Below are 14672 nucleotides of genomic sequence, written 5' to 3'. Positions count from 1 at the left end.
AACCAACTAATGGAACACGGATGGATGGGACAGGGCCTGCTCTGTGGACCACCTATAACTTGATACATCCTAGGAAGCCTGACAAAAGAGATCTGTAAAGTATCTTTTTCTGTAATTGTTTCTAACTAATGAAATTATCTAGTTGTTAGATTAGATTTGTTGATCCTCTCTTAAAGAGTTTCTCCAGTTTCCTTGAGGGCAAGAATCACTTGAGGCACTTTTGAAAAATATTAATTCCTGAGCCCCACCTCTGGAAAGCCTGATTCAATAGGTTTGGGGTGGGAACCAGGAATCTGTGTGAAAAAGGATCCCATGTGATTCTTACAAAAGGGTAAGTTTGAGAAACACTGTAATGGATAGCATGCAAATTAAGTCCCATGTAGCCAGCTGTGCTTTTTCAAATAGTTTGGAACAGATATTAGAGGAAATTATAAGATTCATCAAATGGGAATACAGCAGTTCCCTGTAGAATAAGCTCTGGGAATAAGCTTGCCTGAGGAAGTTTCTATTAAGAGCATGGAAAACAAACACTGGTACCAAACAGTGGCTCCGTGCCCTTCCCTCCCCTCCACTCCCTTTCCTGGTAGAAACACCGGTACCAAACTCTTCCAGTCTTAGGGAAAACTAGTACTTCTTGATTAACAGCAAGTCTAGTCTTAAATGTTATGAGTGTATGTTACAAATATAATAAACGTCTAGGCCTCCTTTGTAACCCCATATGAGAAAATTATGGTGTAGGGTGTCTTGACTACTCTTCATTTCATGAGAGATCTCACTGGTGTTTCATAATAAGCTTGAGTTGAGGCTTCGGCTGTTTTCATTATCCTTGTCTTATATAGGAGAATCTCCTCAGGTCACAAAACTGGAAGGTGACAGAGATGAATGAAGGACCTTGATCTTTTACTCTTCTAATTCACCAAACTACCAAATGTTTCTAAAACTTCCCTTGAAGATAATGCATTTTACTTATGGGTACGAGGATATAATTATTATCCAAAATTGATTAAACTAAATGATAGAGAATTTAGGCCAGACGTCCCTGATTCCTTAAGCAGATTGTTCACAGTGCAATAGATGTTACTGAGAAATGATTCTATTTATATTATATTATAATGTTATGTATAAGTTTAAATCAGGACTCTGGTGTTAACCGTACATGTTCTGCCATGTTTTAAGAAAATGAAGAAAAAAGAGCATATACGGGCTGCTTTTAAACAAATGGCTTGACGTTTATCTACACACATACTGTTTGTCTTATGGTTGTTTCTTCCAGATCACACACAAATAGGACTATTGAAGGAGTATCAGTGAAATGAAGCTTGTAATAAAAGGTTTTATTTAAATAAAAAAGACTGACTTACTGACTTAATGTATTAGTACTAAGAGGAACACCACACTCACCCCCTTGGGATGGATTTAACAATGCCAGCATTGTAATTTTTTTCCAGGTTGGCTCCATATGAAATGGCAGTAGCAATTATCGTCTGAAATAAAACAAAAGATGTTAAAAACTCCATTGGTTTTAATAATTCCTTGTTTGTCAACCAAATAATGCTGAACTTTCTAACTACATATTCTACTTACCACAATTACTTCTATAGGAATAGGGACTGGGATTTTGTGTCTAAACCGATCATTTAATTCCTTAACTGCCATACAGACGACAATGGTGAGCAATCCAGCAGTGAAATCAGCAAGATTGGTATCACCAATATTTTGAAAAATCTCAACCAGCGTCTATAAAAAGAAAATAATTTTATATACTTCCTGCTGCTACACGCACACGAGCACACACACACGCACACACACACAATCAATTCTCATATGAATCTTCCCACATGAAAAACCATGATATCAGCATCAAACAACACTCAAAAGTTTCAGTAAAATGATAAAAATGTGTTGGTTGATACAGAGACCATTACATACATACAATTGCTGCAATATATATATACACCAAGTTTTTTATGATTGTTTACTTGGAAAGGAAAAACTGGGTGATTTCTACATTCTTATTTTTGCTTCTCTGTATTTTTTATGATAATAATAAAGATGTCTTAAAAGAAAAAATGTCATTATAAACATACTAACTTTTACTTACAGAAATGCTTTACAAGTTTATATTTTAAAATGGGTTTCTAGGTGCTATCAAGTAGCCTGATTTTTACTACAGTGATACAGCATTGAGACTAAAGGCTGATAAACCTGAAACTCCCAGTTGATCAGTTGGTTGTTTTTTTTGTGTGTGTATATGTGTGTATGTGTGTGTGTGTGTGTTCTTTCTTTCTAGCTTTCTTTTTTTTGGGGCACAATTAGCCAGTATTTTAGGTAAAGTTCTTTCCTAAACCTGAATGATATAGATAATAACAAAAAATTACAAAAAATCCTAAAATACTTCATATGTGGATACAGGTAGACTGACTTCATTCTTTCTGGCAAAGAAAAGCTATTGAATTGACATATAGGCCAAGCATACTTTTTTTTAAATTAAAACAATTTCATGTTTTATTTAAAAAATTTGATTTTATAATGATATAATTACATCAAATCTTTTTTTTAATTCCTAAAGCTGAATTGAATCTGTAGTTTTTTTCTGTTTTTTGTTTTTAAATTATACTTTAAGTTTTAGGGTACATGTGCACAACGTGCAGGTTTGTTACATATGTATACGTGTGCCATGTTGGTGTACTGCACCCATTAACTCGTCATTTAACATTAGGTATATCTCCTGACAAGCATACATTTTTGGGAATAAATTTGGTACTTAATTTTATTTCTCAAACTTGAACTAAGATAACATAAAAAAAATTTTTTTTTTTTTTTTTTTTTTTTTTAGCTCTCTTGCCCAGGCTGGAGTACAGTGGCCTCGAACTCCTGAGCTCAAGCAATCCTTCCACATCACCCTCCAGAGTAGCTGGAGCTACAGGCAGGCATCTATATTTATTTTATTTATTGTAGAGAGTACAATAAATAGGCTATTTTATTTTTTGTAGAGATTGGGGCGGGAGGAGGTGGGGGCAGGGGATGGTGTCTCACTTTGTTGCCCAGACTGGTCTTGAACTCCTGGCCTCAAGAAATCCTCCTGCCCAACCTCTCAAAGTGTTGGGGTTACAGGCATGAGCTACCACAACTGGCCAAAAAAAATCTTTAAGTAGACAGATGAATCAATTCAAGAAAAACTAGTTTTGTTTTGTAAATAGGAGACTTCTGGGAATCAAGGGTGTTTTCAAGGAAATTAGCAAGGAAGAATCCCAAGGAAGAACACTAATATCTTTGTTATATTAACTTCAGTCCTGTAGAAGGCAGGATTTAAGAAGGTATCTTTGAGACATTTCTTTGAGACAATCTCACAGTGAAGGTAACTTTTCTTTAAATGAGCTTTTTTATAGACATATTTTATAGGAAGATAAAATAATGGAGCATCTTATAGTTTATAACATTTATAAAATGTATTTTACTTATTTTCACAGATAAACTACTTTTAAAATAATTATAATGATAATCTGGTGACAATTATGTATGAGCTTAATGAACTTTAAGTACTTAATGAACCTTAAGTAATCTAGGAGTCACTTTGCCAGCAACCTCAGCTCTCTGGAACACATTCAAGAAGAGTAAGGAAATGGGGGAGAAGCTATTATGCATGCAAAATACCTCCCACCAAACACTTGGACTAGAGTTCAGGCATTTAACTTGTAGGAAGACTCTTGAACTTTCACTCAGAGGGTACTTTTGCTCTTTCTTGAAATCCAGTACTAACAAATTCACTTTGTCTGGTTTTCAGAGTCACTGAAAATTGCTAAAGGCATTTACACTGACAGAAACAAGATGATGCCAGGGACAGCAGAGTGAAAAAGAAAATGGGATAACTACCACCAGCAGACACGATAACAAGAACTTAGGGCATTTAGCACAGGAGCAAACAGCCCTACCTATCCCAGAGGCTTGAAGGTTATCATTGCTGTTTGGTCCTTTACATAATCAGTTTTCTGATGAATGACCCTAATTAATTCAGGAGCTAGGTATAACATTTTGATGAATTGTCTATTCATTAAAGGTGTACTTTTCAACTCAAGATGCAAAAATTAAAACTTGAAAAACAAAACATTTGGAATCATTATCCCAATCACACAAACATTTTTACCTTACAAAAATAATCACTACAGGATTCCAGTTTAATCCATGAGAATCAATTAGACCTTTGAATAAAAAGTATGTCTGGTGGATTAGAAATGTAACACGAGGTTCAAAAACCAAAATCAGTTTATATTACAGAATTGCATCATGCAAGGTATCTGAGTATGTAAATAAGTTGCCTACATATTGAGTAGTCATTCAGAATCTTTTAAGAAGAGCTCTATGATAGAAAGTTTAATCTGTGCAGAAATAAAACTCACCATGTAAACTGCAATAGTCAGTTTACATTATTATTGTATAATAATAATATTATATAATAATATAAGATTATACTTATATATTATGTAATAATATAATAAAAGATTATACTTATATAATAATATAAGATTATATAATAAGATAAGATTATATAATAATATAACATTATATAATAAGATAAGATTATATAATAATATAACATTATATAATAAGATAAGATTATATAATAATATAAGATTATATTATATAATAAGATAAGATTATATTATATAATAAGATAAGATTATATAATAAGATTATATTATATAATAAGTTAAGATTATATTATAAGATTATATTATATAATAAGATAAGATTATATTATATAATAAGATAAGATTATATTATATAATAAGATAAGATTATATTATATAATAAGATAAGATTATATTATATAATAAGATAAGATTATATAATAAGATAAGAATATATTATATAATAAGATTATATTATATAATAAGATAAGATTATATTATATAATAAGATTATATTATATAATAAGATAAGATTATATTATATAATAAGATTATATTATATAATAAGATTATATTATATAAGATAAGATTATATAATAAGATTATATTATATAAGAGCATATAATATAAGATTATATAAGATAAGATTATATAATATAAGATTATATAATATAATAATATAAGATTATATAATAATATAAGATTATATTATATAATAATATAAGATTATATTTAACGACATAGAAATTAGACTCTACAAAAACACTGAACAGTACTTCTAATTTAGTTTACTGTTAAAATACCATAAAGTATGTTAATAGTATGGATACACATATAATTCTGTATTTTAGCTTAGTATTCCAAATAATTCAAATTATGATAATGAACTTTTTGGTAATAGATAATATTTTATTATATTTCCTGCTGTGTTTGGAAAATTTTAGGACAATTTCATTTAGATAATTTCTTTGTTCTTGCCCAGGATTACCTGTGTTTATGAAACCGTAAGAAAAAATTATGCCCAATAATGTGTATGAGAAAATTGATCAGTTTACTATTGGAACTGAATTTATTTTTGTTTATTTTATCTCTACGAATATCACAAATGCTTCACGACCACCTTTTGCTGTCAGGCATTTCCTTCCATATCTTTTGTGTATACATGTATAGATCAATCCTTAAAGTGTTACTTTAATACAATGTATAAATTTTACATACTGAAATAGGTACAAAGTAACAAATCTAATCAAGCTTAGTGGTGGCTTTCAAAGCTCTCACCCTTGTCTACTGAGACAAACCATTCAAATTGAGTGGTGGGAAATCAACCCCTAAGTGGACTGGGATTTACTTAGATAACTGAGTAGCTACATGGTAGCATCAAGGGTATTGACTAATTCTAAATTGCTGCCAATACCCTGTCATTCTCCCTTCTGCCTCCTACATCCAGTATCTCTGACATTTGTAAATTAACTGATTTCTTTTTCTTCTAATATTTTCTCCCCTATTTCTTTGCATTTGTTACTTCTAGTTGTCAGCACCTTTTTGGGGGAGAGGGCAGGACAAACCAAAGTGCAACCTTAGAACAAAGATAAGTTAACACTCCAGGTAAAGTATTTTACAACAATCTTACAGTCTTTTCTGGGAGAATCCTCTACTACTCTGCATTTATTGAAGGATTCTTTCATGTATAATTGCAATGGTAATGTCATAAGCAAAATTCTCTGTTCAGAGACTAAGCGGCTCATTTAACCCTATGCAATCGTTTTCAGACCTGCTGATTTTTTTTTTTTTTCAGAAGAGCAAACTTATATTCACCACCATATAGGGATGACTGAAATACCTTTTCCAACTTGGGTGGCCTGTGAGGAGTTTCTTGCAAAATTCTATGCTGTATGCTAAACTGAGATTTCAAGAAAAATATTCAACAGGAAGTAAGTTACATAATGACTGCACTTGGTTTAAAAACTATTTTTGACCTTGGTCTAGTGTTTCCTGCTCACTTTTGTCCCTGTCAAAGTGAAATCATTTGCAGAAAGTTTCTTCTTAAACATAATCCTATGAGACCAGAAGAACTATTTCTCCTGTTCTGCAGGGGTCCTGAAATGGCCATGGACCCAGGTCAACAATTAGTTTGGACCTCCTGCGATCTGTGTAGATGAAGGCCTAGCAATGTTTGCCCAGTGAGGTGAGAATACTCAGTAAGAGATGTCTTGGTAGGTTAATGAGTCACTGGGTTTGTATAGGGAGTGAACAGTGCCTGGCACATGGTAAGTATTCAATATGTGTTTATTGAGTAGATAAACTGAATGAATGAGAATGAAGGAATAAATGAGTGAACATTTGATGGAGAAAATGTAAAAGTAAGTAAAAGCAAGATGTGCCAGGAGCTGCAAAAGTTACAGAGCCTGTCAAAATAAGGCAGTCAGAGGTCTCAAAAAGAACTAAGGATTGGCCAGGTGCAGTGGCCCACACCTATAATCCCAACACATTAGGAGGCATGCAGTAAGATGACTGCTTGAGGCCAGGGGTTCAAGACCAGCCTGGGCGACATTGCAAAACCCCTGTCTCTACCAAAATAAAATCTTAAAATTTTAATTTTAATTTTAAAATATGGGCTGGACATGGTGGCTCACTCCTTTAATCCCAGAACTTTGGGAGGCCAAAGTGAGAGGATCACTTGAACTCAGGAGTTCGAGACTAACCTGGGCAACATAGCAAGACATTGCCTCTACTAAAATTCAACAAAGAAAAAGAAAATTAGCCAGGTGTGGTGGTGCACACCTGTAGTTCCAGCTACTCATGAGGCTGAGGGGGAAGAATCGCTTGACACAGGGAGATGGAGGTCGCAGTGAGCTATGACTGTGCTACTGTACTCCAGCCCAGGCAATGGGGCAAGACCCTGTCTCAAAAAAAAAAAAAAATTCTTTTTTAATAGAAAACTGAGGATTTGACAGGAAAAAACATATCAAGAATGACCCATATAATGCTGAATCAAAAACTTTTGCTAATGTTTCCTAATAGGCTGGGTCCCGAGGAAATGAACGGCGAGCTTCATGAGGTCTATTCATCTGTGATAATAATAATAATAAACTCAATTCTTACTATGTGACAGATATTGTGCTAAGTGCCTTACACGTATTTTCTTTTTCAATCCTCACTGCTCTAAGAGGTAGCTACTATTACTACTCCCATTTTACAATTGAGGACACTGAGGCTTAGGGAAGTTGAGTATAAACATCATGGGTAGTGGGTGGAGAACCAAGATGCCAACTCAAGTCTGTTGAAGTTCAAAGTCCATGATCTTTTTTGTTTGTTTTTGGTTTTTTGTTTGTTGTTGCTGTTATTGTTGTTTGAGACAGGGTCTCACTCCCATCACCCAGGCTGGAAGGCAGTGGCATGATCTCGGCTCACTGCAGCCTCAACTTCCTGAGCTCAGGTGATCCTCTCACCTCAGCCTCCCAAGTAGCTGGGACTACAGGTGCGTGCCACAATGCATGTCTAATTATTTTTGTATTATTAGTAGGGACAAGGTTTTGTCATGTTGCCCAAGCTGATCTTGAACTCATGGGATCAAGTGATCCACCTGTGTCAGTCTCCCAAACTGCTGGGATTACAGGCATGAGCCACCACACCTGGCCTCATGATCTTATTCACTATGTTATTCTGCCTCCTCTGTCTATTCTCACTGCTTAGCATAGTACCTGGCCTGTAGTAAGCACTTGGTAATATTTGTTGAATGGATGGAGTGTAATAGTATGGGATTATGGCACCGTTATAAAATTGAGCAATTATTGACATACTCACCAATTCTTAGATATGTGTACATGGCCTTACATTGTTTTAGAAGCTAATAGGTGGGTCTTTAAAGACTCAAACTCCATTCTTAATGTTGACACGTTATTTTTGTATGGTATCATTCCCCCCAAGCTAGGATGACATCATGTTACTATTATCACCATTTTTCAAGCATCAATAACATGCTTTATGTAGAACACATTTTTAGATCCAAAACCTTTTTCAAATCTAATTAGTGTGATCTACATCCTGCTTTTGCATTTCTTTTGCATGGTGAATCATCTCTGAATCTAATGTTCCTTTTCATTTATAATTGTTGAGACATTTACATTATGCATTTTACGGACTCTTATGGTTAGAAAAAGCTTTTAGAGATACATCTCCAATCATTTCATTTCACCAATAAAAAAGAAAAGATGGCTTGAAATAATCATTTCAAAATAACTCCTTTATTTAGAGTACTTGTTATGTACCAGCCCCTGGGCCAAGTGCTTATCTATTCTTATTTAACAATCCAATGAGGCATATACTATTACTAACCCAATTTTGCAGAGAAGGAAACTGAGGCATGGTGATTGGCTCACATGGCTAGTAGACAGTAGAGCCAGAATATGAATCAAGGTCCATCCAGTTCTAAAACTGAGCTTTCAATTAGCACCCTACATGATGTATCCAGGGTCACTTACCTGTTAGAGACAAAGCTGAGGCTAGAAATCAAGTCTGTTACATTCCAGAGCAGCCTTTACTTCATTAGACCACTTTGTTTTCATTAATGTTTTTAAGTACAATAGTATTTCTGACAGAAGCAACCAAATGTTTTCAATGGCTCCCAAAGTATGCATAGAGAAATGTGGGTGCTCCCAGGCCGGGCGCGGTGGCTCACGCCTGTAATCCCAGCACTTTGGGAGGCCGATGTGGGTGGATCACAAGGTCAGGAGTTCAAGACCAGCCTGGCCCAAATGGTGAAACCCTGTCTCTACTAAATATACAAAAATTAGCTGGGTGTGGTGGCGGGCGCCTGTAATCCCAGCTACTCAGGAGGCTGAGGCAGGAGAATCGCTTGAACCCGGGAGGTGGAGGTTGTGGTGAGCCAATATCATGCCACTGCACTCCAGCCTGGGTGACAGAGTAAGACTCTGTCTCAAAAAAAAAAAAAAAAAGAAAGAAAGAAAGAAATGTGGGTGCTCCCAGACTCAAGTTTTGTTTTGTTTTGATTTTGTTTTTGCTTGAAACAGGTTCTTGCTCTGTCACCCAGGGTGGAGTGCAGTGGGGCGATCACAGCTCACTGCAGCCTCAACCTCCAGGGCTCAGGAGATCTTCCCACCTCAGCCTCCCAAGTAGCTGAGACTACAAGTGTGCACCACCACACCCAGCAAATTTTCGGATTTTTGGATTTTTTCTTTCTTTTTCTTTTCTTTTCTTTCTTTCTTTTTTTTTTTTTTTTTTTTTAAGAGATGAGGTCTCACGTCTCAAACTCCTGGGCTCAAGCAATCTGCCCACCTCGGCCTTCCAAAGTGCTGGGATTACAGGTGTGAGCCACCACGCCTGGCCCAGACTCAGAGAATGAATACAATTGTTTCTGGAATGAACAGTGACCCATCCCTGGAGCAAGAAGCAACACTTACATAGATAATAGAGAGAACTCCATTGTAGTTTTTGGTTGAAACATTGAGGACAATCTTTAGCTGTGAGACCAGCACTTGGAAGGCAGCAGCTGTTGTGAAGCCACCAACCAAAGGATCTGCCAAGTACCTCACTATGAATCCAATCTGCAAGCCACCAAATATCAACTACGATAAGGAAAAGGAAAGAAAAATTAAATGTTTGCCTGAGATAGAAACCTACTCTCTGGAAATATTACATCAAGCTTAATACCAATGAAAACACTAGTAGCCTGCCTATAGCACAAAAATACTGGTAGAAAAAAATATGAATTTCTTAATACCCTATCACTCCCCTTCCTCCACCACTCTAAAATTTGAAAACTAAGTGTAATAAAAACCTTGAAGTATTTCTATACATGTACTTAGAAAAGCAAAAACCCAGAGCTTATTTATGTGGCTTTCGGTCCTGTGTCTCCGCTCACCAGAACACTTTTTCTCCTTTATGGATTCCCGTATATTTCCCTTCTCTCATCCTCAATTGAATCACACATGTTCTTCTGTGCTTTTTTCTGTCTCTGACTTTGATGATAAGTGAGCCTTAATAAGTGGGGTCTTGCTTACTATTTTAGCACCTGACCTAAAACAACGTAATTTAGAAAATAATTTTGGGTTCCAGGAAATTACTTTGTTTTGTTTTTAGTAGAATCTTTAAGTCTATATGCTTTAAAGTTAATTTCAAATAAAAATTACATCCATCTATATTTTACTTGTAAGTTCATTACCTGTATAATTCCAACCAGCAGAGTCAGGGCACTGGCAATCAGGACTCTAGCTGTATCTCTAGCTGCAGTGTCTATCATAGTAGTATTTAATACAGTTCCATTGCTGCTGGATACGAGAAAGTGTTCGTCGGGGGCCATGCTCAGAACAACAGATCCCACCATTAAACTCACCACTGGAAAAGGTCCTGGGGAAAAAAAGTCTCTAACAATTAATCAGTTATTAATCACAAATGTTCAATGTGTCTGCATAGGGTTTAAAAAATGTATAAAAGATTTAGCTGTGACTAGGAAAATATTGTTTGTTCACGAAAGAAGCTGAGCCGGACCCAGTGGCTCACATCTGTAACCGCAGCACTTTGGGAGACTGAGGTGGGAAGATCGCTTGAGCCCAGGAGTTCCAGACCAGCCTAAGCAACATAGTAAAACCCCATCTCTACCAAAATAAGACAAAAATTAGCTGGGTGTGGTGGTGCGTGCCTATGGTCCCAGCTACTCGGGAGGCTGAGGTGGGGGGATTGCTTGAGCTGGGGAGGTGGAGGCTGCAGTGAGCTGAGATCACGCCACCGCACTCCAGCCTAGGTGACAGAGCCAGATTCTGTCTCAACAACAACAAAAAGAAGCTAAAAACGCAGATATCTCGAGGCATTCATGACCTAGAAATAGGCGAGAGAGACACGTAGGTAGTTATTAGAATACAACATTCAGGATGCTTCGTGAGTATATCAAAAGGTCGTCTAACCTGTCTGTGTGTGATCCTCATGTGTATGGGTGGTGGGGACAGGGATGAGAGTTGTCAGGAAAGGTTTTCTGGCAAAGGTAGCACATACATTGAGTGTTTACTTGTTCCGCTCAACTTTTATTTCATATAATCTCATTAATTTCCTAGAGTGTCCAATGTCCTGATCTCTGTGGATCTGAGTACCTTGATCAATATCACAGGGTCGAAGTTAGGATTAAAAAAACAGCAAAGGGAGTATGAAGTTTCTTTCTCTTTTTGTAAGACAAAACATTTTTTCATATCAAATGTCAATCTGTAAGATTTTATATTTTAAAAAATATTTTTTTTTCAGCAATTGCTCCGTTCACTACTGTTATTTTTATCCATGACGATGATGATGATTCTACCCTCTCATCATGGAAGGCTTTATGGTTTTGAGGTCTCAAAACCCAACCCCAGTCACCTGGAATATCTCAATGTATAGAATACCAAAGAGAAAAACCAGCTTCCATGTTCCTCATCTAGTCAAGCACTCAACACTGATTGATTCTCCAAGGTGTGGAAGTTCTTTCAATCAAAACCTCTTTCTGATCTCCTTCTAAGGAAATACAACTAAGGACAAAAACATGGGTTGGGGATAAAGTAGATGGTTGCATTTATTTCAAGAGGATCATCGAGGTAGACATGTCTAGCCAGCAGATGGATGTAGGAGCAAAATTTTCTCTAGTATAAATGTCAAAGTCACAAAATAGCATTAAAACACTCATTTACTAGGACATTCTAACAAACGAGAATTCAAATTTTAGGAATAGCAGGAAAACTTATTATAAGCCATACCAAGAAAGAAAGCCAAGCTTAGCTTCTAAATTGTTTTGGTAAGATTTTGCCAGTCTTCTAATATTAGTGATTTAAAATAAGTATGCTCTTTAATTAAATCATGAACATGTATTTGATGAACATACTTAGTAATTTCTAAGTTAATCCAGTAAAATGGTAGGTTCAAAGACCTTGTGTCATTTTTTCCCTGTCATTATGACTCCAAAAATGGAGTCAAATTGATCACGTTTTTAAAAAGCAAAACATGCTAAAATGTTAAAGTAGGCTGTCATTTTCAGTTTTTTTATTTTTCCACTTCATTAAAAAAGTTACCTAACATCAGTGAATAGAAAAAGCAGGCAAAACACTGAAATCCCATTTCCCTGACAACATTAACACAGATATATTAGGTTGGTGCAAAAGTAATTGCGGTTTTCACAATTAAAAGTATAATTGTGAAAACCGCAATTACTTTTGCACCAACCTAATAGAGGTATAATGCACTTAATATAGCCAAAACACTTTAAACATGAGCAAATATAATTGTAAAATATACTTATAATTACCAACTGAGATATGTCTTGATGTTCCAAAGATAAAGTATGTCAGGATAGGGAAAAAAGCAGAGTAGAGACCATATCCGACAGGAACTGCAGCTAGTAGGGCATATGCCATCCCTGAAAGCACATGCAAAGTGATTACATTCACAAACCAAAGTTACAGTATGCAGAAAGTCCTCAACTTACAATGGTTCCACTTATGACTTTGCCTTTATGATGATGCAAAAGCAATATGCATTCAGTAGAAACCATACTTTAAGTAACCATACAACCATTCTGTTTTTCACTTTCAGTACATTATTCAGTAAACTACATGAGATATTCAATACTTTATTATAAAATAGGCTTGCGTTAGATTATTTTGCCCAACTGTAGGTTATTGTAAGTGTTCTGAGCACATTTCAGGTAGGATAGCCTAAGCGATGATGTTCCATAGGTTAGGTGTATTAAGTGCATTTTTGACTTAAAATATGTTCAACTTGCAATGGGTTATTAGGATGTAACTCATGAGAAGTAGAGGAGCATCTGTCTTTCTACTGCAGAAAGAAGGGCCTTTACACAGATACTCTCAATTTACAGTTTCAACAGATCAGCCTGTCCTGAGTTGGTCTCCTTATCTTGCATACAGACTGGCTATGCTAGGATGCAGAACAGGATCCAAATCACCTGGAACAATGATTGCATCTACAAACATCACCTGCTCAAATGAATGGACTCAGTTGATCAGTAATTCAGTCTTCCACCAATCAGATCAGTGGGAAAAAACAATCAAGTCAAATGTTGATTAAAAACTTGGTCAGGCCTGGTGTCCTACACCTATAATCCCAGTGCTTTGGGAAGCCATAGGCAGGAGTATCAGTTGAGCCCAGGAGTTTGAGACCAGCCTGGAAAACATAGCAAGACTCCATCTCTACAATAAAATGAATGAGCCCAGCATATTGGTTCACGCCTGTAGTCCTAGTTATTAAGGAGGCTGAGGCAGGAGGATTGTTTGAGCCCAGGAGTTTGAGGTTACAGCAAGCTATGATCGTGCCACTGCACTCCAGCCTGGGCAACAGAGCAAGACCTTATGTCTAAAAAAGAAAAAAAAAAGTTTTGGTCAATTCACTCCAAAGGCTCAGACCAGTTTTGCACAGAGGCAGTTGTGTCTGAGCTCAATATTTCTCTGCGTTCTGAGGGACACAGTCATTGTTACACTGCCCTTTCTCCTTTTTTGGTGGGGAAGAAAAGTTAGACCCAAAGAAAAAATATGATAATTATACTCAGCAGCAGACAAGACAACTCTACCCTGATGAAGTTGACCAACTCCTCCACTAGGCAATGGCAGCAGCCCCCAGACCCATTAATGCCTGGCTATAGAGAAATCAACATTCTAGTTTACATGAGGGTTAGAAGAGGATAATGACATTCTTTTCCTTGGTTAAATACTTAGGTAGCCAGCATATCTTACTCCGTTTTACCTCCTCACCCTTCACTCACTCACAATGAGAGAAAATCAAGCCTTTTCACTCTTGAGTCATTAATAAGGAATTACATTTATAGTAGTTTATTAAAAATGGCAACAGCCTGAATATGCTGGCCCCCACACACTCAATATTACTTATCAGATGAATGTCCCCAAGCAGGGAAGTGGTTAACTAAGTTATGCTTCATACTTCGTAATTCTATGAAATGAAATTGATGTGATGCTCAGAAGTACATTCAGTAACGTGGAGAGATGTGAAGTAAGAGGGAAAAAAGTGAGTAAAATCAAGATTCAAAACTGATAGGTATGTATGCTTCCTCTTTTGTAAAAAATACACTCCCACTCCAGCCTGTGGGAGTGTACGCATTAAAAAAAGCCGGAGGGACCGGGCGCGGTGAGTCACACCTGTAATCCCAGCACTTTGGGAGGCCGAAGTGGGTGGATCAGGAGGTCAGGAGCTCAAGACCACCCTGGCCAAGATGGTGAAACCCCGTCTCTACTAAAAATACAAAAATTAGCCAGG

At 36.3% G+C, this 14672-nt stretch overlaps 1 protein-coding gene across 1 annotated transcript in view, besides 1 other annotated feature; it reads right to left on the bottom strand.

Annotated features, from left to right (window-relative positions):
• The window catches only part of SLC26A4 (solute carrier family 26 member 4), a 56982-nt gene that overhangs the window by 32871 nt on the left and 9439 nt on the right, over positions 1–14672 (bottom strand). Inside the window, exons 4-8 of the mRNA NM_000441.2 lie at positions 12691–12801; positions 10591–10775; positions 9830–9994; positions 1585–1737; positions 1402–1484 (exon numbers count right to left, since the gene is read on the bottom strand). Coding sequence (NP_000432.1) covers positions 1402–1484; positions 1585–1737; positions 9830–9994; positions 10591–10775; positions 12691–12801 — 697 coding nt within the window. The remainder of the gene's footprint in view (positions 1–1401; positions 1485–1584; positions 1738–9829; positions 9995–10590; positions 10776–12690; positions 12802–14672) is intronic.
• Positions 12809–13009: a silencer, noted in NCBI's record as "peak6681 fragment used in MPRA reporter construct". NCBI's record gives its function as "represses an SCP1 promoter by STARR-seq MPRAs in K562 erythroleukemia cells {active_cell/tissue: K562}" and the evidence as "EXISTENCE:reporter gene assay evidence [ECO:0000049][PMID:32103011]".

This window comes from Homo sapiens, chromosome 7 (genome assembly GCF_000001405.40).
Source record: "Homo sapiens chromosome 7, GRCh38.p14 Primary Assembly".
Lineage (NCBI taxonomy): Eukaryota > Metazoa > Chordata > Mammalia > Primates > Hominidae > Homo > Homo sapiens.
This window is presented reverse-complemented; position numbering and strand designations above follow the sequence as displayed.